This window comes from Homo sapiens, chromosome 7 (assembly GCF_000001405.40).
Source record: "Homo sapiens chromosome 7, GRCh38.p14 Primary Assembly".
Classification (NCBI taxonomy): domain Eukaryota; kingdom Metazoa; phylum Chordata; class Mammalia; order Primates; family Hominidae; genus Homo; species Homo sapiens.
The window spans coordinates 158,395,003-158,418,149 of NC_000007.14; the positions used below are offsets into that span (position 1 = coordinate 158,395,003).

The 23,147-nt window shown below is 54.8% G+C and overlaps 1 protein-coding gene across 13 annotated transcripts in view, besides 4 other annotated features; it reads right to left on the reverse strand.

The window, feature by feature from the left end:
* The window catches only part of PTPRN2 (protein tyrosine phosphatase receptor type N2), a 1,048,768-nt gene that overhangs the window by 855,947 nt on the left and 169,674 nt on the right, over positions 1-23,147 (reverse strand). The window lies entirely within an intron of this gene.
* Positions 2,329-2,936: an enhancer, noted in NCBI's record as "H3K27ac-H3K4me1 hESC enhancer chr7:158190023-158190630 (GRCh37/hg19 assembly coordinates)". NCBI's record gives its function as "activates a minimal SCP1, AML or CMV promoter by ChIP-STARR-seq in primed H9 embryonic stem cells {active_cell/tissue: H9 hESC(primed)}" and the evidence as "EXISTENCE:reporter gene assay evidence [ECO:0000049][PMID:30033119]".
* Positions 19,136-19,660: an enhancer, noted in NCBI's record as "H3K4me1 hESC enhancer chr7:158206830-158207354 (GRCh37/hg19 assembly coordinates)". NCBI's record gives its function as "activates a minimal SCP1, AML or CMV promoter by ChIP-STARR-seq in primed H9 embryonic stem cells {active_cell/tissue: H9 hESC(primed)}" and the evidence as "EXISTENCE:reporter gene assay evidence [ECO:0000049][PMID:30033119]".
* Positions 19,661-20,185: an enhancer, noted in NCBI's record as "H3K4me1 hESC enhancer chr7:158207355-158207879 (GRCh37/hg19 assembly coordinates)". NCBI's record gives its function as "activates a minimal SCP1, AML or CMV promoter by ChIP-STARR-seq in naive and primed H9 embryonic stem cells {active_cell/tissue: H9 hESC(naive and primed)}" and the evidence as "EXISTENCE:reporter gene assay evidence [ECO:0000049][PMID:30033119]".
* Positions 21,381-21,581: a silencer, noted in NCBI's record as "peak6880 fragment used in MPRA reporter construct". NCBI's record gives its function as "represses an SCP1 promoter by STARR-seq MPRAs in K562 erythroleukemia cells {active_cell/tissue: K562}" and the evidence as "EXISTENCE:reporter gene assay evidence [ECO:0000049][PMID:32103011]".

The following is a 23,147-nucleotide window of genomic DNA, read 5'->3' on the forward strand; positions in this document are numbered from 1 at the left end:
GGCCAACCAGCCCTTTCTGCTGTAAAACTTCGGCTCCTCTACCTGCCTGAGTCTTTGCCAAGCACGAGGGACAGTGACTGACCCCTCGTTCCCGCCAGCCTGAGTAAGTAGCCGCGTTTTCGCCTGGGTGGTCTGCAAGGTTCACCCACCTTCCAGGAGCCTCCGGAGTCTGGGGTGGAGGGGCTGCAGTACCCGAGCACGGCCGCTAGATGGCACGCAGGCGCGGTCTCGACCTGAATCCCCCGTGCGGGCACCTGCGCCCAGGGCTGTCCCTGCACAAGTGAGGGGTGAGGGGTGAGGGGCGAGGGGTGAGGGGCGAGGGGCGAGGGGCGAGGCGCGAGGGGCCAGGGGCCAGGGGCGAGGGGCGAGGGGGAGGCGCGAGGGGCGAGGGGCCAGGGGCGAGGCGCGAGGGGTGAGGGGTGAGGGGCGAGGGGTGAGGCGCGAGGGGCCAGGGGCGAGGGGCGAGGGGCGAGGGGCCAGGGGCGAGGGGTGCGGGGCGAGGGGCGAGGCGCGAGGGGCCAGGGGTGAGGGGTGAGGGGTGAGGCGCGAGGGGCCAGGGGCGAGGGGCGAGGCGCGAGGGGCCAGGGGTGAGGGGTGAGGGGTGAGGCGCGAGGGGCCAGGGGCGAGGGGCCAGGGGCGAGGCGCGAGGGGAGAGGGGCGAGGGGCGAGGCGCGAGGGGCGAGGCGCGAGGGGCGAGGGGCGAGGGGCGAGGGGCGAGGCGCGAGGGGAGAGGGGAGAGGGGCGAGGGGTGAGGCGCGAGGGGCGAGGGGTGAGGCGCGAGGGGCGAGGGGTGAGGCGCGAGGGGCGAGGGGCGAGGGCTCCCGGCCTGCGCCGCCTTGGATCCCACCAGCCCCGAATTCGGGCAGAGCGCCATGGAGGGCCCAGCCTGGAGGGGGAGCTCGGAGCCTGCAGCAGGTGAGGTCGGGCTACAGACTTCCCTCTGCCCCCTGGTCACAGAGGTGAGAGTGGGGCCTCATCCCAGTCCCGCCGCGACCCATGGGGCAGAGCTGCTGCCCTGGCCCAGGCACGCACAGCTTCTCAACAGCCACATCGCAGGCTGGCCCTGGCCTCCCCAACCAGAGACCAAGCTCCCAGGCTGCAGAGGCAGCGAAGGCCGGGACACGCACAGGGCAGCGGGCAGCCAGTGCCACGTGGGCTGAGGAGGCACTCCCTAACGGGAGACAGCGCCCAGCCAGGGCTGGTTTTCTCACCGTCATTGTCAAAGGCCTTTTGAGCATTTTCACACACACACACAAAGAAGCCGTTTAAAACAATAAAAGTGTAGTGCTGGGGAAATGATTAATGCATATATCTCTATTTCAAACCCGCAAAAGGAATCAAAACAAAAAGACCTTTAAAGAGACACACAAAAAGGTGACAGCATCGTGAGGTGAAGTCTGTGTGTGTGTGTACATGTGCACGTGTGTGTGCATGAATGTGTCACGTGTGTGCACGCGTGTACATGCATGTGATTTTGTTCACATGCATGCACATGTGGAGGGAGCGAGCTGCTCCCCTCCTCGCCGAGTGAGTTTTGTGCCTTGCCCGCTTCCTGTGCTCAGGGGGATGGACAAGCAGCCAGGATGTTAGAGGCCACCCAGAGCTCTGAAGGGGGCACTCAGGGAACTGGGGCAGCTCCGTTCTCACAGGGTAGGCTTGTGTGTGCTTTGTGTGCACGTGTGTGTGCATGTTTGTGTGTGCACATGTGTGCATGTGTGTGTGTGCGCATACCATCTCCCCAAGCCGCCTCCACCTGCACACACCAGCGGTGACCCGCCTCGGGGTCTGTCCTGTTTTGCCACAACAGCTGTAGAGAATGCCAAGCAGCTCAGCAGTGGTTCCCAAAATAAGACTGTTGAGAGCCCAGAAATAGCCCCCAGAGAACACTGTAAAAGCCCCAAGACAAGGAAAAAGTACACGAGCTTGTGACATGATGGTACAATGGCCTCAAGGAAATTGCAGCTTTGGAAAGAAACTTTATTTTCTGTCTTTTGAAACAAACCGACATCCTGTCCTCTGTGGAGACCCAGGCCCCGCTGAAGTGCTCTTTCAATTTGCTCTTTTAATTTGCTCTTTTAATTATTCTGAAAGGCCATCTGCTGTAAGAGTGCCTCCCTGATTTAAACTATGCCTCACACCCTCAAAACTTACACTTCAGCATTTTTTCCTTCCTTGCGTAATCTCAAAGCAAACAAGATTCAGAGAGGCTCACTTCCTGGGTAATGCAGGAGATGCCCTCCGAGGTAGGGACAGGGGCTTGTGCCCAATGTGGGGCCACTCTGCAGAGAACCACATGAGCTGCGCCCATCCAGGATGCTGCCAGGAGCCTGCATCCAGACACCCTCAGCGGTTGTGAACCAGCCCTCCCAGCGGCAGGACCCCCGAGCAGTTGTGAACCAGCCTCAGGGTTGCCCTCCAAGTGGCCAGGGGACAGGGCTGACATGAAGCAGGTCCTCAGATCGAGACCAGCTCTGGAGGCCCAAACAAACACTCCTCCTGTGCCCTGCACCCTCACCTTCCCTTCCAGAGAAATAGTGTGTCCTGCCCCAGCTCAAAATAGGGACAGCACAGGGCTCCACCCAGGAAAGCTGGGGGCCGAAATGTCATACCATTTGGGCAGGTCTGGGCCTGTCCTGCCACTCCCTCCCCACCCCCCAGTCACTCTGTGCCTCCACTTCCACATGACAACAACATCCCTCTCAGGGCTGAGTCTCCTCCCCTGCAGAGAAGATGCCTTGTGAGGCCTCTTGACCAAAAGAAACAGGAAACAAATACAGAATAAAAGTATAACAGTGAATAAAAACAGCTACATGCACACACAACTGTGCAAAGCAAAACAAAACAAATTGAAAAGCACAAGCAGGGTGCCACGGCCTGACAGTAACAATCAAACAGGAGGGTTTTCCAATGCCATGAACGTAAATCGAGGTGTGCATGATAACAAGGAGTAGGAACCGGAGGGACGGCCACTGAGGGTGGAACCAAAGCAGGGAAATGAGAGGATGATGAGTCCCCACTGATCCTGAGGCTGGGAAAATTTGCAGACTCGAAGATTCTGTAGTGCTGATACATCCACACATTCCATGGTCCTGAGGGACACTGTCTAGCTTACAAATCCATCTGTAACTGTTCAACCAGACTAGCAACCCGTCATTCATCATTCATAGGAGAATGCAAAATTACATCATGCACAAAGTGCTCCCCCATGTATCAACTGCATTTGAACAGATTTGTGTTTTCAAAACCAGGGTGGTAGCAAGATTGAGTATGCCCAGTAAATGCTAGATATTATTATCCCACTAGACACTGAAAACGGTCCCCTTTCCTGGGTTGTGTTGCTGGCCTTGCCACAGGCAATGCCGAGGGCAGCTGCCTCATCCTCCCCCACACTGTTGCCTCACCTGGTCACAGGTGGGAAGCCAGGTGGGGCTCGGTGAGTGTCTTCTAACTGTTTCTGCATTGCTAGAATGGGGTAAACAAAGAACAAAGAAAACATACATAAAGTACATTCTTTGTTCTGTTATTGCCGTTGTCAAAGTTAACTCTCTCTTCTTATTTTAGGGTTTATTTTTAAACATCATGCTTGCACATAGTTTGAAAAATCTAAGTCTGGTTGGGGAAATGAGCAAACCTCTAACCCACCTTTTCCCCACCCGCATTTCTACTCCCCAGAGGTAAGCACCCTCAACTCATTTAGCTGACTCTTGGTTTTCATCTCCATATCTCCACATGACACATTCACGTTGCCATTTCTCAGCTTTCAGATTTAGGATGTATCTATTTTCTGACTGCTACAGAAGATGGGCCTACCTCTCCATAACACATCACTGTTTCCAAGCTTACTTTCTCTTTCCCAGTTTAGTTACATTACAATTTTCATCAGATCAGTATTATGTGCTTACAATATTGTGACTTTGTAAATGCTATCCCCAACTAGGCTATGTAGTACGCTGTGACTAGTATTAATTTTTTTTCTTTTTGTTTTCCCTGGAGTTATAAATGTCTTATGTATTTGCTTAGTGTCCACAGTGTCTCTTCCTTTCACAGTGTCTTCTTGTTTTTCCTGGAGTTATACATGTCTTATGTATTTGCTTAGTGTCCATAGTCTCTCTTCATTTCATGCTGTCTTCTTCCATGTGGCTGTCAGGGCTCTTTCATTAGAGGCTTTCCATAAGTGTCCAGTGATCCTGGGATGCCTGCTCATATTTAATAAGGGGCACAAAGAGCTGATTTAGAATTGTGTCACCTGGTGAATTGTTGAAAGTGGGTGTCAGTATAGGAGACCCTGCTGAGCAGTTTCACTGGGAAAAATTTTCTCTATTTCTATTCCCACAGAAGCAGACCTGGAATAAGAAACAATTGTAGTTGGCCAGGTGTGGTAGTGCACACCTGTGATCTCAGTGTTTTGGGAGGCCAAGGCAGGAGAATCACTTGAGTCCAAGAGTTTGAGAACAGCCTGGGCCACAAAGTGAGATCTCTGTCTCTATAAAATCATTTTTAAAAATTAGCCAGGCATGGTAGCTCCTGCCTGTGGTCTCAGCTACTTAGGAGGCTGAGGCAGGAGGATTACTTCAGCCCAGGAGGTCAAGGCTGCAGTGAGCTATGATCAAGCCACTGCACTGCAGCCTGGGTGATAAAGCAAGATCCTGTCTCAAGAAAAGAAAGAAAAGAAAAGAAGGAAAAGAAACAAGGGAATGGAAGGGGAGGGGAGAGGAGGAAATTTTTAAAAGAAAAAAAGTGTGACAAGGAAGGTTGGGTTTCCAGTGAAAGGTGCATCACCAGCCAGCTCCTACTGCACCGGAACCATCCCATTCAAGGGGTGGTGTAGCTGAGGTATTTAAACGCTCACTCCTTGGCCGTCAGTTGGAGCTCTCCCAGCAAGGGGAGTGGGAAGCGGGACTCATTAGTCCCCAGGCACTTGCAGTCCCACAGGGAGCGAAGCTGGGAGGGGCGGCGAGTCTGCAGACCAGCACCAGTCTGGGTTTGCCAAACTCCCTGCATGCAAGAGATCTGCTGTGACCACACCTGCAGGGTACTCAGGCCACCTTTCATACTGGGGTGAGGAGAGGAAGTAAACGCTTTTCTCATGTAACAGATGCCTTTATGTCATCGTTAAAGCTGTGCTTTCTGACAGTCTTTAGAGGTTTTAATGAGGATGCCTAAACTTACGAGGCCCCCACAAACATCAAGAATTTTGCCAAAAGAAATGACGTAACTGATGGATATTTTTTGAAGACCAATGTCTTAGTCACTTTTGAACCAAGCAGATGCGCTACCCTATGTGGACAGGGCAGTCGTCATGCACAGAACCCATGCTGTCCCATCTCCCCCACACTCAGGCTGGAGCAGCATTCTGGCTTTGTTTTTGTTTTGCTTTATTGCTCTGTGTCTACCAGACACACAGCTCCTCAGAAACTGGACAGAAAGCCTCCTGACATCACCACAACAAAATCACAGCCATTAAGTCCAACGGGATTGCTTTATGGTGGCTCAAGCCCATTTCTCTGAGCTCCAAAGCCATCCTGACATCATTATGCTGCATCATTATGAAGCCAACACACATCTAACAAGAACACAAGATGCGCTTTGTCATCTCAGCTACGATTCTCCTTGGGGTGAAAGTGAGGGGCGCTGGGAGTTGCCCTCTTGCAGGTCCCAAGGCAGCATCTCCCCAGCAACTGAGACCAGCCTCAGCACAGGACACCGTGGTCCCAGCCACAAATGCAGACAGAGCCTCTCAGGCCAACCTCAGAGCCTCTCTGGAGTGCAGGCATCCTCTACACAAACGGAGGCAGCCCTGCTCCATGCCTGCCATGCAGCTGAGACGGATCCTCAGGACACGTCCTGCCTGCAGGTGAGCTCCTCAAACACCAACCAGCAGCCCCCGTCCCACCCCCCGCATTCCCCCAGATCCTGTAAAGAACATCCTGTAAAGAACCTCACGAGGAAAGCCGAGCAGACAGCAAACCCAGAGCTTCCCCGACTGCGGTGGGCCCTGCTCCGCCTCCTGTGGCCAAGGCCGCTCATCACCCAGGAACCGACACGCACGAGATGCAGAATCTAAAAGAGAAAGCGGCACCGCCACCAGCAAGCACAAGAGGGACGTGGGGCCTGATGACGGAGGCAGCAGTGATGCCTGCGGTGCCAGGGGCTCTCCGGGTTCCTGACCCTCTGACAGTTCACCTGGAAGGCGGGCTCCAAGCCCCTCAGACCCAGGCTCATCCCGTGAGCAAGGAAGGCTGTGTGTATGGAGGCTCCATCCCCTCGTTTGTTATTTTTACTGGGCTTCTTCCTCTTTTTCCAGCAGTGAAAAATCTTCAGAGACCTCCACCAGGGAGAAAATAGACCGGAAGCTCCTTCTCTGTGTTGCTGCCACCCAGGAGCCGCTGGACCCCAAGGGAGCAGCATGGAGGCAGAGAGACCTGGCCCAGCACAGAAGCGAAGCTGCCACGGGACGGCCCCACGGGTGCCAAGACACGATGGACCCCAAGGGAGCAGCGTGGAGGCAGAGAGACCCTGGCCTAGTGCAGGAGTGGGGCTGCCATGGGACAGCCCCATGGTTGCCATGACACACTGGGTCCCAGGCATTCTAGTGAAGAGCTGTTACCATAAGAGGAACTCAAAAAGGGAAATGCTAGTTTAATAACTAAATTCTTAGGAAGAAATGTCTTTAGTAAAATATCTTGATGATCTGATAATGCACAAAATTATTCCCGAGACAAAATTTGAAGGGGCTGAAAGGAAAACAAAAGGACGAATGGCTGGTAATTCCTAAGGGAGAAGCTGGGAAGACAGAGGGGCTCAGGGGACTGACGGCAGCCTGGAAACCAGCAGGTGCCCAGTGGAGGGAAGACAAAACGAGAGCAGGGGTGCCTGAATCCATAGAGATGTCCACACTGCCGCCCAGACCTCCCAGGCCTCTCTCCATCCAGACCGCCAGTCAAGTTCCCATCTGGGAAAGGGGGTCTGGCCGGTGCCCAGAGCCAGGGAGAGGTGGGAAACGGGGTGTGAAAGAGAGATGAGGAAAGGGGGTCTGACCGGTGCCCAGCAGGGTCAGGGAGAGGCGGGACACGGGGTGTGAAAGAGAGGAGATGAGGAGTCAGCACATCCAGCCACCCCCTCCAAACACACCTGGGAAAAGGGAGAACCCCGGAGGACAGCCCGGTGGGAGAGTGGCTCACAACAAGTCCACATACATCTTGTGGGACTCAGGGACCAGCCAGACACAGGACCAGGGTATACAGGTGCTGACTTTTGAGCTGTCCACGGCACTAGGAGGCACATGCCCCAGCACCTCCCCAAATTGGAAATCTGGGGGTACAACCTCTGTACACACATGCATTCCAGCTCGCAAATGAGCACCTGCCTCAGAGCTTCACCTTGACTCTCGGAGGTGGGGCTGGCTCATGCTGTTGGCCAGTGCACCCCACGCCCTCTTCTCTGCTAATTTTGCATCTGCACTGAATTTACGTTGGTGGGAGTCAGCGCCCTCCAACTCCATGGAGACAAGACTCTGCTGTGCACACTGCTGAGACTCCAATATCCCACGTGCCAGGGGCTTACTCCATATTTGGCAGATAAATTAAAGCCCCAAAATGCAGAGTCATCGATGAGTCTCCTTCCAATGCAGCTGTCCATGCGGCCTTGGGCAAGCCCTGCGATGTTCCTGCAGGGAAGGGAAGGTCTGGGTGTCTGCAGCTGTCGTGCCTGCTCTCCGGACCCTGCGCCCGCCCTAGAGGGATCCAAGGGCCATGGCCAGGCAGGGTGGTGTCATGGACAGCTCTGGTCCCACGGTGGAGGGACAGGGTGGTGGGGGCTCAACCCAGGCCAGGGACTGTCTGTCCCTTCCTGGCTTTGCCCAGCAGAAAGCAAAACTCTGATGAGGGAGAATCATGGGGTGCAGGGGCAGCAGGTCAGAAAAGAAAAGCCTCCTCTGTGATTCTCCACAGCAAAGGGACCCTTCCCAGAGCTGGCACTGAAAACCCATGAGCAGCCCCATCCCTTACAACCAAACACAGCTCCGTTTGCCTCCCACGGCTTCTTCATATGCTTCCCAGGGGGTTCATTCTCGCTCTGTTTGGAGACACCACAGGGTTTTGGTGAAAATCCCCCCACATTAAGGTCTGGACCACCTTCAAGCTGTGCACTTGGGAGGTTGAGCAGACAGAATGCACGTGGGCACGTGGCCAGAGAGAAACCTGCCCCATCAGGCCAGGGGAGCACATGTGAGCACCTCTGCCAGCAGACCCCTCACCAGCAGGAAGCCAAGTGAAAGACACAAACGCACCCATGCAGGCCCTGCCGTACTGATGTGAAAACGTAAATAACCAGAGCTGACCTGAAGAGCATGTCTCCACCAGGCTGCAGGCAGGAGTGGCAAGGATTCCACCCTGACATGCAGGCCCCACCCCAGCAACCCTGGACAGGCCCGGGCACAGGCCCAGCTGCCCTCGTTCTGCAACAGCTCCCAGGTAATCCTCATGGGCTCCAGGTTTGAGAATCGTGCCCGGAGCAAGCACATTTAGGCCCAAACCCCTGGGTGTGGCCTTTGTTACTCCAAGGGCCACTCTGGTGGCACGTCAATCACCACAGAGAGGTCACTTCTGTTCACGCTGCCTGTCGGACTGGAAGTGGGCTAAGGTGGGCAGCAGGCAGGCAGTGCGGCAGCCGGGACTGCGAGTGCCTGGGGTCTGAGGATCGCACACCAAGACCCACTCGGGGAGGGGTCCTGCACCCCCACTCTGAAAACTCCCAAAACCCCACGAGGCTGAATCTTGATTCCCCCAGAGTTCTGAAATTCTGATGCTGGGATGATGCACTTTGGAAAAAACCATGATGGCTGGAAAGGGGGAAATGAATATTTGCTTTATGCCTTTAGCTAGCACAAAAAGTCACCTAATTAAGGTAATGAGGTTTAAAATGTAGGGTAAAAGTCACAAGAAACACTACAATTCCATTTTTATAATTACTCATGTCCTTACCAAAGAAAAGGAAGTCCATTAGGACAGACACAAAAATGACACGAAGACGTTGTGGTGGGGGAATCCCAGCATGCGCAGTCTTTTCCTGGTGATTTGCAGCCTCTGGACTTTCTATAATAAAAGGTATCGCCGTGACAATAGGAGAGATCAACTTTACAAACATCGCTTAATCAGGACACACTGTGGCCCCAAGGCTTATAAGTGACCCTTTCACTGGACGTCACCAGAACACCTGTGTGCAGGGTGGGGACACGTGCTGGAGGTTTGTGCTGCTGTGTCACACGTGGGAAGACGTCAGACCTTTCCTGAGCCACTAGCCAGGAACACATGCGGACAGACTTTGATGGGAGGATGCTGAGGAGACAGAGATTCTGTGTGTGCCTTTGAAGGTTCTCCAGTTCAGGCATTAAAACCTCCTGCTGCAGGGGCTGTGGACCCCTTAACCTGCTGACCCCGGGGCAGGCGCTGAGGCCAGGCTGAGCCAGTCCACAGGATGAAGACACCAGGACCCGTGAGGACGGGGGCTCCCCAGGGGACGTGGCTTTGGGCAATTGCTGGCTGCATTCCTTAAATCCCTGTTTGGTTATATCCACCCCAACAACACCAGTCACTCGGGAGTCCTGTGCCAGAAACACAAGCCAGGGCCTGCAGTCCTCGGCCTCCAGCTCCCCAGCCTCAGCTCCCCGGCCCCCAGCTCCTTGGCCTCAGCTCCCGGGCCTCCAGCTCCCCGGCCCCCAGCTCTCCGGCCCCCAGCTCTCCGGCTTCCAGCTCCCCGGCCTCAGCTCCCCGGCCCCCAGCTCTCCGGCCTCCAGCTCCCTGGCCCCCAGCTCCCCGGCCCCCAGCTCCCCGGCCCCAGCTCCCCGGCCTCCAGCTCCCCAGCCCCCAGCTCCCTGGCCTCCAGCTCCTCGGCCTCAGCTCCCCGGCCCCAGCTCCCTGGCTCCCAGCTCCCCGGCCCCAGCTCCCCAGCTCCCAGCTCCCTGGCCTCCAGCTCCTCAGCCTCAGCTCCCCAGCCTCCAGCTCCTCGGCCTCAGCTCCCCGGCCCCAGCTCCCCGGCCCCCAGCTCCCCGGCCCCCAGCTCCCTGGCCTCCAGCTCCTCGGCCTCAGCTCCCCGGCCCCAGCTCCCTGGCCCCAGCAGGAGCTAAGTTGTTACAGGGTTTCCCCATCCACAAAGACAGCATCACGAACATCCACACCCCCTAGGATGCCTGGAGTCCACATCCTCCCGGGGTGCCTGGGAGATCTCTAGAATTCCTGGGTGTCACATCCCCTAGGATTTTGGGGTCCTAGCAATGCCAACACCTAGACGAAGGTCAGGCATGGCCACAGAGGCCACCCTAGCTATAGGAAAACTCTCTGAAAGCTTCGATGTTAGCTCCAAGCAGAGGCTTGGTCCAGGAGGGCTGAAATCCTCCCATTTAAAACCTCTGAAAATCTTGCCTTTCACAAACAGCCCCCTGGAGGAAATGTTTTTTTAGCATGATGCCTGATAAGGACACAACACAGAGCTGCAGCGTCCGACCGTCTCTCCTCCACACTGGAAGGGAACAACAAACAAAGCCTCCGCAAGCTTGCTAAGAAACGGGGCATGCACAACACTTTACTGCAGCAAGAGACGATTTATCCAGTTATGTGGTATCAGATATTTTTAATAACTACTTTTCTGAATCCAACCAAGATCCGGCCCTCTATACTCTTAATACAGTGAAACTTATCTGTGTGTGGAGCCTGCACTTGGAAAACTCGGAAAACCTTCCCAGAAGCAAAGTGAAATGCTGCATACCACGACCACAAGTGGCTTATCCATGCATGTGGCCGCACACTGAGATCCCGGTGGCTCATCCGTGAGACATGTGGCCACACACTGAGATCCCGCAGTGGCTCATCCGTGAGACACGTGTCCGCACACTGAGATCCCGCAGTGGCTCATCCGTGAGACACGTGGCCGCACACTGAGATCCCGCAGTGGCTCATCCGTGAGACACGTGTCCGCACACTGAGATCCCGCAGTGGCTCATCCGTGAGACACGTGGCTGCACACTGAGATCCCGGTGGCTCATCCGTGAGACACGTGGCCGCACACTGAGATCCCGCAGTGGCTCATCCATGAGACACGTGGCCGCACACTGAGATCCCGGTGGCTCATCCGTGAGACACGTGGCCGCACACTGAGATCCCGCAGTGGCTCATCCATGAGACACGTGGCCGCACACTGAGATCCCGGTGGCTCATCCGTGAGACATTTGGCTGCACACTGAGATCCCGGTGGCTCATCCGTGAGACATTTGGCTGCACACTGAGATCCCGGTGGCTCATCCGTGAGACATTTGGCTGCACACTGAGATCCCGGTGGCTCATCCGTGAGACATTTGGCTGCACACTGAGATCCCGCAGTGGCTCATCCGTGAGACATGTGGCTGCACACTGAGATCCTGCAGTGGCTCATCCGTGAGACATGTGGCTGCACACTGAGATCCCGGTGGCTCATCCATGAGACATGTGGCTGCACACTGAGATCCCGCAGTGGTGCTTATCTCAGGAAGGAAGAGCTGGTCATGCCTGGAGCCCCCTGCATCATCATCGGCTCCTTCCCCAGGGCAGGTGCCGCTCTGGAAGCCTCCCCAGTCTCTCCCGCGGACCTGAGTCCTGCTGCAGCCACTCGCTGGCATGTGACACTGACCATGCCCTGAGACCTGCCCTGTTCACACACCTCTAGAAGACTACCTCTCATCCCCATGCCACTGGATAAGTGGCTGACTGCCTCCTGGATACCTGGCTAAACTTCAAAAATGCTCCTGATTTTGTTTTTTTGTATTAGATTTGTGTTTCGGCTCATTTCGTTCCTCTGCTGTTATAAACAGACCCTGGATGACAGAGCTCCAGGATCACAGCAGGCACTCCAGGCAAATTGCTTTATCTCTCAACATGGAATCAGGAAAATGCTGTAAATACTGGACAAAGTCTGTCCTGCACAGGCCTCGCCCACAGCAAACATGGAGCTGCCAGCCCTGAACAATGAGCAAGGCTGAGCGTGCTCAGGCTGTCAGCAAGGAACCCTCCAGGGAGACCCAGCAAGAGAACCAACATCCGCCTGTGAGGAGGTCGGGCTGCAGACAAGCCCAGCCCTGGGTCCTGCGTCCTGGGTCCTGGGTCCTGCGTCCTGCGTCCTGGGTCCTGGGTCCTGGGTCCTGCGTCCTGCGTCCTGGGTCCTGGGTCCTGGGTCCTGGGTCCTGCGTCCTGCGTCCTGGGTCCTGGGTCCTGGGTCCTGCGTCCTGGGTCCTGGGTCCTGGGTCCTGGGTCCTGGGTCCTGGGTCCTGCGTCCTGGGTCCTGGGTCCTGGGTCCTGCGTCCTGGGTCCTGCGTCCTGGGTCCTGGGTCCTGCGTCCTGGGTCCTGGGTCCTGGGTCCTGCGTCCTGGGTCCTGCGTCCTGGGTCCTGGGTCCTGGGTCCTGGGTCCTGGGTCCTGCGTCCTGGGTCCTGGGTCCTGCGTCCTGCGTCCTGGGTCCTGGGTCCTGGGTCCTGCGTCCTGGGTCCTGCGTCCTGCGTCCTGCGTCCTGGGTCCTGCGTCCTGCGTCCTGGGTCCTGTGTCCTGGGTCCTGCGTCCTGGGTCCTGGGTCCTGCGTCCTGCGTCCTGGGTCCTGGGTCCTGGGTCCTGCGTCCTGGGTCCTGGGTCCTGCATCCTGCGTCCTGCGTCCTGGGTCCTGGGTCCTGGGTCCTGCGTCCTGCATCCTGCGTCCTGGGTCCTGGATTGAGACAGAAGACCCTGGGCCGCTCAAGCAGAGCCCGGCTGCAGCCCCAACCTGGAATCCGTCCTTGCCACGAAGCCGATGTGGAACCATCGCCGTGCTCAGTGGAGGGACCATGAGTTCATGGCGTGATTAGCTGGGAGGTTTGGAAACAGCAAAAGCAAAAAGGCATCTCCCACAATGTCCAGTGACTCAAGTCTACAGAGCTTGTGTGCAAATTCCCTTAAAGTCCCTCCTCATCTTCAGAAGATATCCAATGACTCAAGTCTATGGAGCTTGTGTGCAAATTCCCTTAAAGTCCCTCTTCATCTTCAGAAGTTGAAATAGGAAAGGAAAAGGCAACACTTAGACCAAATGCTGAAGTCAACGTGACATGTAGGATGTGATTTGTTAAGTTACACTGACATCTGGTGGCCTTCAGTGTTAGAAGAGAAACACACGAGATCCTGTGATCTGAAACACACATGATCAAATGTGCCTTTGCATTTTCTTTGGTATTGAAAGCAGACAACACCAGAGGCAGCATTAAACATTAATAAAATCATGAATAAATTAATAAGAACACCACTATGCATATTTTTCAATTTAATAAGCCAAAAGTATAAAGGATGATTTTCTTCTTCCTAGGCCAAATCTTCTTAAGGAGCAGATTACAGTAGCTTTCTCTACAGTGGAATTTTTCAAATAGACTTTTAAGAGAAGAAGAGGAAGAAGAAGAAAACCGTCACCACTGTGTATCAGCCCGGAGGTGGGTCCCTGCCTGTGAGAACTGCACGTGGTGGACTCATACTGCATCTTCAGAGGAAGCAGATGTTCATTACTTATTTCCAGAAAATGACATTTATTACTGTGTTGCAAAATCAAAATCATAAAACAAGCAATTTGATGGGCTCAGAAAAAGTCCAAATGATAAGAAAAGGTAAATTGCATAATATAAATAAGGTGTTTCCTCCGTGTTTGCAGAAATACACCAAACGTGTGACCACCCTTCGTGACCGGACTACAGCAATAACTAAGCCAGTGGGGTAGGAAGGAGAATCGGATCAAAAGTTCACATTTTGATCAACGTCACATATGCTTGAGATAAAACGCTGCTAACGTCAACACTGGACTCACCCCAGTCATATTAACATTGACACGACTCACCCCAGTCATATTAACATTGACACCAAACACAGCCTAAAACTCTGTTACCACAAACATGACTTAAACGATACAAAGTTAACCTCCATATTTGCTATACATTCTAGTAATGACTTTGCTCTCCTTAATTAAAAAAAAAAAAAAATCAAAAGATCATCCTCCCAGACCAGATTCCAAGCTCAGTGCTTTATGTACACAATCATATCATTTTCGTAACACCCTGAAAGTTCTGTTTTCATTCATGAGAAGCCCCCGCAGGTAATGCTTGGTTTACGTTAATGAGTAGATGCAGACTGCAGTGCATCTACTCATTTGGGGCTCACCTGGGGCCTCACCTCCAAAGGGGCTCCTGGAGATGGCAGATCCTGTGGGGCCCACGCTGACCTCTGCAGCCAGAAGCCAGCCATTGCCTGTGTTCAGGGCTGGCCCTGGCAGCATATGGGGAGATGTGTGCAGGAGCAGGCAGTGAGCAGGCTGGGGAGGTGGGCAGTCCTCAGCTTAGGAGAGGACCTACCCAGGCATAAGCGTGGACCTACCCAGGACCTACCCAGGCATGAGCGTGGAGAGGGCACAGAAGACCTGGTCAGTCTGAGGAAGGAAAGAGTGGCTGCTGCTAACAGATAGAGTCAGGTCAATTTCCCCAGGGCTGCCTTCTGAAGCTGGTTTCCATGTTATGAACATGCCTGAAAAGGACCGTGGTTAAAGCAGCTCAAACTCCGGCAGGAGAATTTACGAAGCATCCAAGCCCCTCCTCTATGTGAACCAAAGGGTGGCTGTGAGGGTTCCGGGGGTCTCTAACAACAGAAAACCTCCACTGGCTTTCAACCTCACCTGCCAGGGAAGGGGCCAGGTAGGGATCGCGCAGGCCCCCTCAGACCCTCGCTCTGAAGAACAGGTGCCCTCACAGAGCATGCCGACATTCAGAACTGTCCTGCAGAATCTGGCAAGTGTTTTAAGAATTGACATAAAGAGCTGAGAAGATGTGTTGACGTCGCCTCTCAAAAAATCTGGCTTTAAAAAATAATAATAAAGCTAGTGTTTTTTTGAGCAGCTTCCATGAACTTGCCTTCCAAAGTTTTCTGAAAACTTGAGAAGATGGGGTGTGCCCCCACAGCCCCAGCTGCCTGAGGTTCGCTGAACAGCCTGGGTGGCTCCGAGGCGTCCCCGCAGATTCAGCCTGATCACTCCTTCGGTTTCCTCCTACGGCTGCAGGCAGACCTGGAGTTCATCCGGGTGACCTCCACAGTCTCTGGCCACCTTCCCTCCATTTAAGAAAAAGAAAAACAGCCCATGTCTGAGCCACCTCCCCAAACCCTCTCTGCCTTCAAGCATCTGACAAGCTACCCTCACCACACAAGGCCCGCTCCCTCTCTAGAGAGCCTCTCCCGACACCAAAATGTCAACCTAACACGACACTCAGGACACAGCTGTCATCCCGAAGGCAGGAGATGTGGGGGAAAGGACACAGAATGAGGTCACGATGCCAGAGTCACCCTCGTCTCATCCCCGAGTACCCAGGTGACTACAGACAGGAGAATTAATCTCCTTCTCGTGGGATGAAGTGACAGAGTAGACACCTGTGAGCCCACTTCCAGCTCCAGTTAAGGTTTCCTCTGGCCCTGAAGTTCTGCGACTCTGAGGCATGTGGGGTGACCAAGGGCAGAGGCTCCCAGTCTGTCTCAAACTACAGGCTTTGAGCAAGGTGAGCCTCCCTAAGCTTCGGTTTCCCCAACTTCGGTAAAGTGAAATAACAAAACCACGAGTGGCTCTTAACTTCTCTGGGAATGTCCAGCCAGAGCCTCGGAATGTAACTACGTGGAAACAGGGTCCTCGCAGACCTCATTATTGAAGGACCTTGAGGTGAGATCATCTGGATCCAGGGTGGGCCCTAAATGTAGTGATTGACGTCCCTGTAGGGAGAGGAGAAGACACGGAGACACAGGGAAGGGGTGTTGGTGGAGTCACGGGTGGGAGGCCCCGGAGGGACAGTGCAGACAAGTGCCCAGGTGACCCCAGACACGGAGACACAGGGAAGGGGTGACGGGACAGTGTGCTCATGGGGTGGGAGGCCCCGGAGGGACAGGGTACACAAGCACCCAGGTGACCCCAGACATGGAGCGTGAGTAGGAAATTCACTTGGTGGTGTCAGGCCACAGAGATCCGGACAGGCTGGGCTGCCCCTGCGAACCCGGGGCCCTCTCCTCCCTGGCACAGCCTTATTTTCACTCCTGCAGCTCCCGAGAGGAGGCCTCGCTCTTCCACCTGTTTCTGTGTCATGGGACCCTTCACAGAGCAGGCACTCAAAACCCATGAGCACCCCATCCCTTACAACCAAACGCAGCTCCGTTTCTGCCTCCCACGGCTTCTTCACACGCTTCCCAGTGGGTTCATTCTCCCTTCCCCACGTAAAGATGTGTGCAGCCACAGCTTTCCGGCCACCTTGAAATGAGGTGACATCTCCAGTCGCTTCCCGTGATGAAGTGCGGGGCCTGGCACTGCGCACTGCTGCCCCTGCTGGGTCCTCACAGCTCCTTCAGCAGCCTCTGGGGTCTCACCTCCTGGTCCCCTGGGCCCTTGCACATGCCCGGCCACCACTCTCTGGTCCCCCCAGCACTCACGGCTCACCTCCTGGGAGCCAAGGCACCTGCAAGTCCTGCTGTCGTCCCGGGAACAGGGGTCCCCTTCCCGTGGGAGATGGGATCCCCCAGGTAACACAGCCAGTCAGAGGGCAGCATCAGAACTCACTCGCTGTCCTTGTCTACACTAAGCACTCAACTTCAAGTTGGGAAACCTGGGTACCAAGCAGCCAACCAACGCCAATGGAGGTGGAAGGCGCCGCCCCGCGGCACTCACACCCGCCTCAGATGGGAGCATGGTCTCAGGGGCCAGGGCCCAGGTCTTATCCAGACTCAGCTGCTCTGTGACCCAGGTCAGTCACTGGCCTTCCTCCCGGGCTGCTTCTCTGTGGCTCAGGGGACAATAGGCCCATCTCGTTAGGCTGCCGTGAGGGTGAAATGAGGCTGCGCACATGAGACTGGGGCTGAGAACATGCGTGGGCCAAGAACACACCTGCCAGGGCCCATCGCAGCACCCTCATCAGCTCCAGGGCCCATCACAGCACCCTCCTCAGCTGCAGGGCCCATCACAGCACCCTCCTCAGCTCCAGGGCCCATCCAGTGCCCTCCTCAGCACCAGGGCCCATCCAGCACCCTCCTTAGCACCAGGGCCCATCTCAGCACCCTCCTCAACACCAGGGCCCATCTCAGCACCCTCCTCAGCACCAGGGCCCATCCAGCACCCTCCTCAACACCAGGGCCCATCTCAGCACCCTCCTCAGCACCAGGGCCCATCTCAGCACCCTCCTCAGCACCAGGGCCCATCTCAGCACCCTCCTCAGCACCAGGGCCCATCTCAGCACCCTCCTCAACACCAGGGCCCATCCAGCGCCCTCCTCAGCACCAGGGCCCATCTCAGCACCCTCCTTAGCACCAGGGCCCATCTCAGCACCCTCCTCAACACCAGGGCCCATCCAGCGCCCTCCTCAGCACCAGGGCCCATCTCAGCACCCTCCTCAGCACCAGGGCCCATCCAGCGCCCTCCTCAGCACCAGGGCCCATCTCAGCACCCTCCTCAGCACCAGGGCCCATCCAGCACCCTCCTCAGCACCAGGGCCCATCTCAGCACCCTCCTCAGCACCAGGGCCTATCTCAGCACCCTCCTCAGCTCCAGGGCCCATCCAGTGCCCTCCTCAGCACCAGGGCCCACCTCAGCACCCTCCTCAACACCAGGGCCCATCTCAGCACCCTCCTCAGCACCAGGGCCCATCCAGCACCCTCCTCAGCTCCAGGGCCCATCCAGCGCCCTCCTCAGCACCAGGGCCCAGCTCAGCACCCTCCTCAGCACCAGGGCCCATCCAGCACCCTCCTCAGCTCCAGGGCCCATCTCAGCACCCTCCTCAGCTCCAGGGCCCATCCAGTGCCCTCCTCAGCACCAGGGCCCATCTCAGCACCCTCCTCAGCACCAGGGCCCATCCAGTGCCCTCCTCAACACCAGGGCCCATCCAGCGCCCTCCTCAGCACCAGGGCCCATCTCAGCACCCTCCTCAGCTCCAGGGCCCATCCAGCACCCTCCTCAGCACCAGGGCCCATCCAGTGGCCTCCTCAGCTCCAGGGCCCATCCAGTGCCCTTCTCAGCTCCAGGGCCCGTCTCAGCGCCCTCCTCAGCTCCAGGACCCATCCAGCACCCTCCTCAGCTCCAGGACCCATCCAGCGCCCTCCTCAACATGGCTCCCTTCCCTCTCGCCACTGAGCAGACTTGATAACAGATGCAAGCTCGTTCCAGACCCACAAGAAAATCCACAGCAAGACAAATTTTGTGCCAAAGTTGGGTTCAAGATCAAAAACAATCCTTTGTATCTCATTTGTAATAAGTCGTAGGGGCTCACGAGAAAAGGAAAGATAATTCAATTTTGAATGTATGTTTACATTTCCTAAACAGCTCACTTAGCATCTGAACCCGAATGCACACAAAAAAATAAAACATTGTCTTTAAGGAAATAAAATGCAGTGGGCCTAACATGGCCCCCAATTGGCCAAGTCCTCTTCTCAACTAGGAAACTGGCCACTGTCCACTCTGGGCCTGTGACTAACACAGATGAGGATCTCTTGTCCTTAACCTTTTCCGACTCCCCTCCCAGAAGATGGCAGGGCTCAAGAGGCCTGAACGGGAAAGCCCCGTGTGGGCTCCATGGCGACCTCAGCAGGCGAGCCCACCCCTCTCCCGGGAGGACTAACAGTGGGAAGACTTCTGTGGGTGGGAGATGAGGACCCCAGTCTCTCAGCCTGGTGTCTGTAAAACTAGGAGAACGGGCCCATCCTGCGGGTGCTGGGGAGCCTGTGGGACACACAGGAAGCACTTGTGTGTCCAGGCCCAGCGGTCCTGACCCAGCCTTTTCAGCTCAACCTGGGCCACCCTTAAACATGGAGGCAAGGGCCAGGTGTGATGGCTCACGCCTGTAATCCCAGCACTTTGGGAGGCCGAGGCAGGTGAATTACCTGAGGTCAGGAGTTCGAGACAAGCCTGGTCAACATGGAGAAACCGTGTCTCTACTAAATCACTTGAACCTGGGAGGCGGAGGTTGCAGTGAGCCGTGATCGTGCCACTGCACTTCAGCCTGGGTGACAGAGACAGCCTCTATCTCAAAAAAAAAAAAAAAAAAAAAAAGGAAGCAAGGGGATTCCTAGTGTTCCAGCAGGGGGAGAACTGTGGTTCTAGCAAATCCTCTACCAAGTGAGTACCGTGCACTTCCAGAGCGTAGGGAATCAGGTGCTCAACCCCGAACGGCCCATAGCAGAGCTCTCCCGATGATGCAGGGCACACCAGGAGTGAGGACAGCAGCACTAAACCATGAGGTTAAGACAAAGGGGCTGACAGGGAGCAGTCACCTGTGAGAATTTAAAGAGCAGAATTAACGGGCTGGAGCATTAAGCCCCAAAGGACGGATCCAGGAGGGTGCCCGGGCGGTTAACAATGGCTATTCAGGCCTAAGAAGGAAAGAAATAACCTTAAAATAGAATCCCATCCCATCCTCCTGGACCAGATTTCACTACAGTAATTGCATCTGTGAGGAAGAGAGCTGCAAAGGAAATTAGATGTTCTCCGGGCTCAGCTGTAAGTCATACATCAGAGCCACCCACTGAGAATTCCCATTAGGAAGAAGCTGGCACGAGCTCACATGCGGGCTGGAGGCCGCCCCCGCTTCCACGGCCCAAAAAGCTGTCCCCACCGAGGTCCTCGATCTGGCATAATTGCCGGCATTGTGCCGTGCCTCCCGCCCTGGCCACATCAATGTGGCTCATTCTTCGAGGCTCCACTGAACGCTGGGAGCTGTGTTGAAAGTGGGGGAGGGGCATCCACTGATGAAGCTTCCGGAGCATCTCCATCCAGCCAGCTCCCTCACACCAACTGAATGAGCCAGCGTGCTGTAAGGAAAACACTACCAGTCATCCACATGAGGAGGGGCGGGGGAAGGTACCTCTGCCTGGGACAAAAGCCTGCAAGGAAAACAGGAGCTGAGCACTCCAGCCATAATACAACCAGCTACTTTCCTGATGATACAACCAGCTACTTTCCTGATGATACAACCAGCTACTTTCCTGATGATACAACCAGCTACTTCTCTGATGATACAACCAGCTACTTCTCTGATGATACAACCAGCTACTTCTCTGATGATACAACCAGCTACTTCTCTGATGATACAAACAGCTAATTTCCTGACCTACCAAGAGGCCAGAAACCACACCTCAACTCCCTGCTTCCCAATTAATCTTTACTCTGCAGTCCCCACTCTGGGCCCCAGCGACAGTATTGGTGAAGAGACGCAAAGCTGATGAATGACGTCAAACAAACAAAAACAACCTGTAGCAGGTGGCTTCAAGAAACCCTCCTGCTTTCCTTCCTCAGGGGAGAGAGCCAGCAGCCTTGCTGCCTGGGTTTGGAAGGGTCACCCCAGGCCCTACCCACCATCCTCTCTAAGCCCCCACCAGCTGCTTCAGCCCTGGATGACACTGGACACCACCTGGGACCCTGAAAATGCAGGTGCCTGGGCCCCACCTCCACCAGATTCAGATGTCACTGCTCCGGAGTGCGGCCTGCTTACCAGACTTATCTGAGCACTCCCAGCTACTGTGGATGTACAGAAAGGGTTTAGAACCATGGGCCCATTCTACCAACAAGAACTGCATATACCACGGGCCCCGCCTCAGAGTTATTGTTGAGGACTTGTCCCCCCACCCCACCCTACAATGGCTCATTAATATCCCATACACGCAAATCCTCGTCAAAGACCCTCAATGAAGTATGCAGGCCACCCATGCCTCTTCCTCATTCAATTGATAAATGAGAAAGTTTCTTAAGGAAAAATTAAACAAATCAGGTGATTTAGCCTAGTTTTAGTCACTAAGAAGGGACTTCAGAGTAGTTCATAAATTGTCTCTAAGGATTTTCAATACCAGAGCATTCCTCAGAGGGCTGGGTGGTCCCCTAGAAGCCCCTGCCACCCCTGTGTCTGCTGTGGCTGGGGCTCCACATCCCCATGACGTGTCTGGTGGCAGCCACCACAGTCCTGTCTCTTCTAGGAATCTAAGTGTTAGGTTCTGGTTTCTTCTCTTCCACATCCACCTTTGGTGTTGGTTTCAGAAACAGCAAATCCTACAATCCACGGTTCCCAAGCCTGACTGCACACCTGAACCATCCCTAAATACTTTCCACACAGGTGCCTTCCCTGGGCCCCATGCACTGGAGGAAGCCTTCTGTGAAGGTCCACTTTGGGGCCCAGGAATGGGAATCCAGCTTCACTCCATAGTCAGCCAGGCTTGGGACAACTGTGGTGGATGATCTGATTGCATCCGACTGTCCTCCCTTGCAGGCCCAACCCACAGGGATACATGGCCAAAGTTTAGATATGCACCCCCAGCCCCCAACCACACAGTCCAGATTTCAATTACATGGCATGTTAACCGAGTAACTACATAAAGTACAAAGTGTGCTGCCAGGTGTAGGCAACAAACCACCACATGTTAACAGCCATGTGGGATTGGTGGCTGCATGGGGATTGGCCAGGGTGCCTGTCACTCAGCTCAGCACAGACAGCAAAGCATGGAGCTGTGTGGCCACATCATCTCCCAGGGAGAAACCAAACAACATTTCGCAGAAGTGAATTATCAGAAGAAAGAACAGACAAACAAAGATATAAGTGCACCAGAGAATGAAAAGGGATGGTGCTGGAAGTGAAATTCCAAAGAAAGGCCAGGGGGCAGGAAACAGACAGCCTGCTGGGAAACATAGACTGGCTACCATGTGGGACACTCACGGTGCTGCAGGAACCTAAGGAAGGCAACTCATCCGCACACAGCAGGGAAGTGGCTGTGAGGGAAACGATGATATCCAGGGGAAATGGGGCAATAAGACCTTCACAGTAAAGGGACACTCAGAGGCACTTCACCACCACAAAATGGCAAAGCACAAAATGTTGGAGGGCAATCCAGACTCAGAAAGGGATTGACACTCAGCAAGCCATGGGGAGAATGCTCACAACTATCACAGCCTAGACAAGGATTCAAGTGCCACACACACTACATCGAGATGCTCTACCTCTCACTGTCCCCCTGTGCTAAGTCACAGTGCACTACATCAAGATGCTGCAGCTCTCAGTGTCCCACTGTGTTAAGTTGTGGTGTACTACATCAAGATGCCGTAGCTCTCAGTGTCCTGGTGTAAGTCACAGTGTACTACATTGAGATGCTGTAGCTCTCAGTTTCCCTGCTGTGTTAAGTCACAGTGCACTACAACAAGATGCTCTAGCTCTCAGTGTCCTGCTGTGTTAAGTCATGGTGTACTACATCGAGATGCTGAAGCTTTCAGTGTCCCACTGTGTTAAGTCATGGTGTACTACATCGAGATGCTGAAGCTTTCAGTGTCCCGCTGTGCTGTCATGGTGTACTACATCGAGATGCTGTAGCTTTCAGTGTCCCGCTGTGTTAAGTCATGGTGAACTACATCGAGATGCTGTAGCTTTCAGTGTCCCGCTGTGTTGTCATGGTGTACTACATCGAGATGCTCTAGCTCTCAGTGTCCCACTGTGTTAAGTCATGGTGTACTACATCGAGATGCTGCTGTAGCTCTCACTGTCCCACTCTATTAAGTCATGATGTCCTACATCGAGATGCTCTAGCTCTCAGTGTCCCACTGTGTTAAGTCACGGTGTCCTACATCGAGATGCTCTAGCTCTCAGTGTCCCACTGTGTTAAGTCACGGTGTACTACATCGAGATGCTCTAGCTCTCAGTGTCCCACTGTGTTAAGTCACGGTGTACTACATCGAGATGCTCTCTCAGTGTCCCGCTGTGTTAAGTCACGGTGTACTACATCGAGATGCTCTAGCTTTCAGTGTCCCGCTGTGTTAAGTCACAGTGTACTACATCGAGATGCTCTAGCTCTCCGTGTCCCCCTGTGTTAAGTCATGGTGTACTACATCGAGATGCTCTAGCTCTCCGTGTCCCACTGTGTTAAGTCATGGTGTACTACATCGAGATGCTCTAGCTCTCAGTGTCCCACTGTGTTAAGTCACGGTGTACTACATCGAGATGCTCTAGCTCTCAGTGTCCCGCTGTGTTAAGTCATGGTGTACTACATCGAGATGCTCTAGCTTTCAGTGTCCCACTGTGTTAAGTCACGGTGTACTACATCGAGATGCTCCAGCTCTCCATGTCCCGCTGTGTTA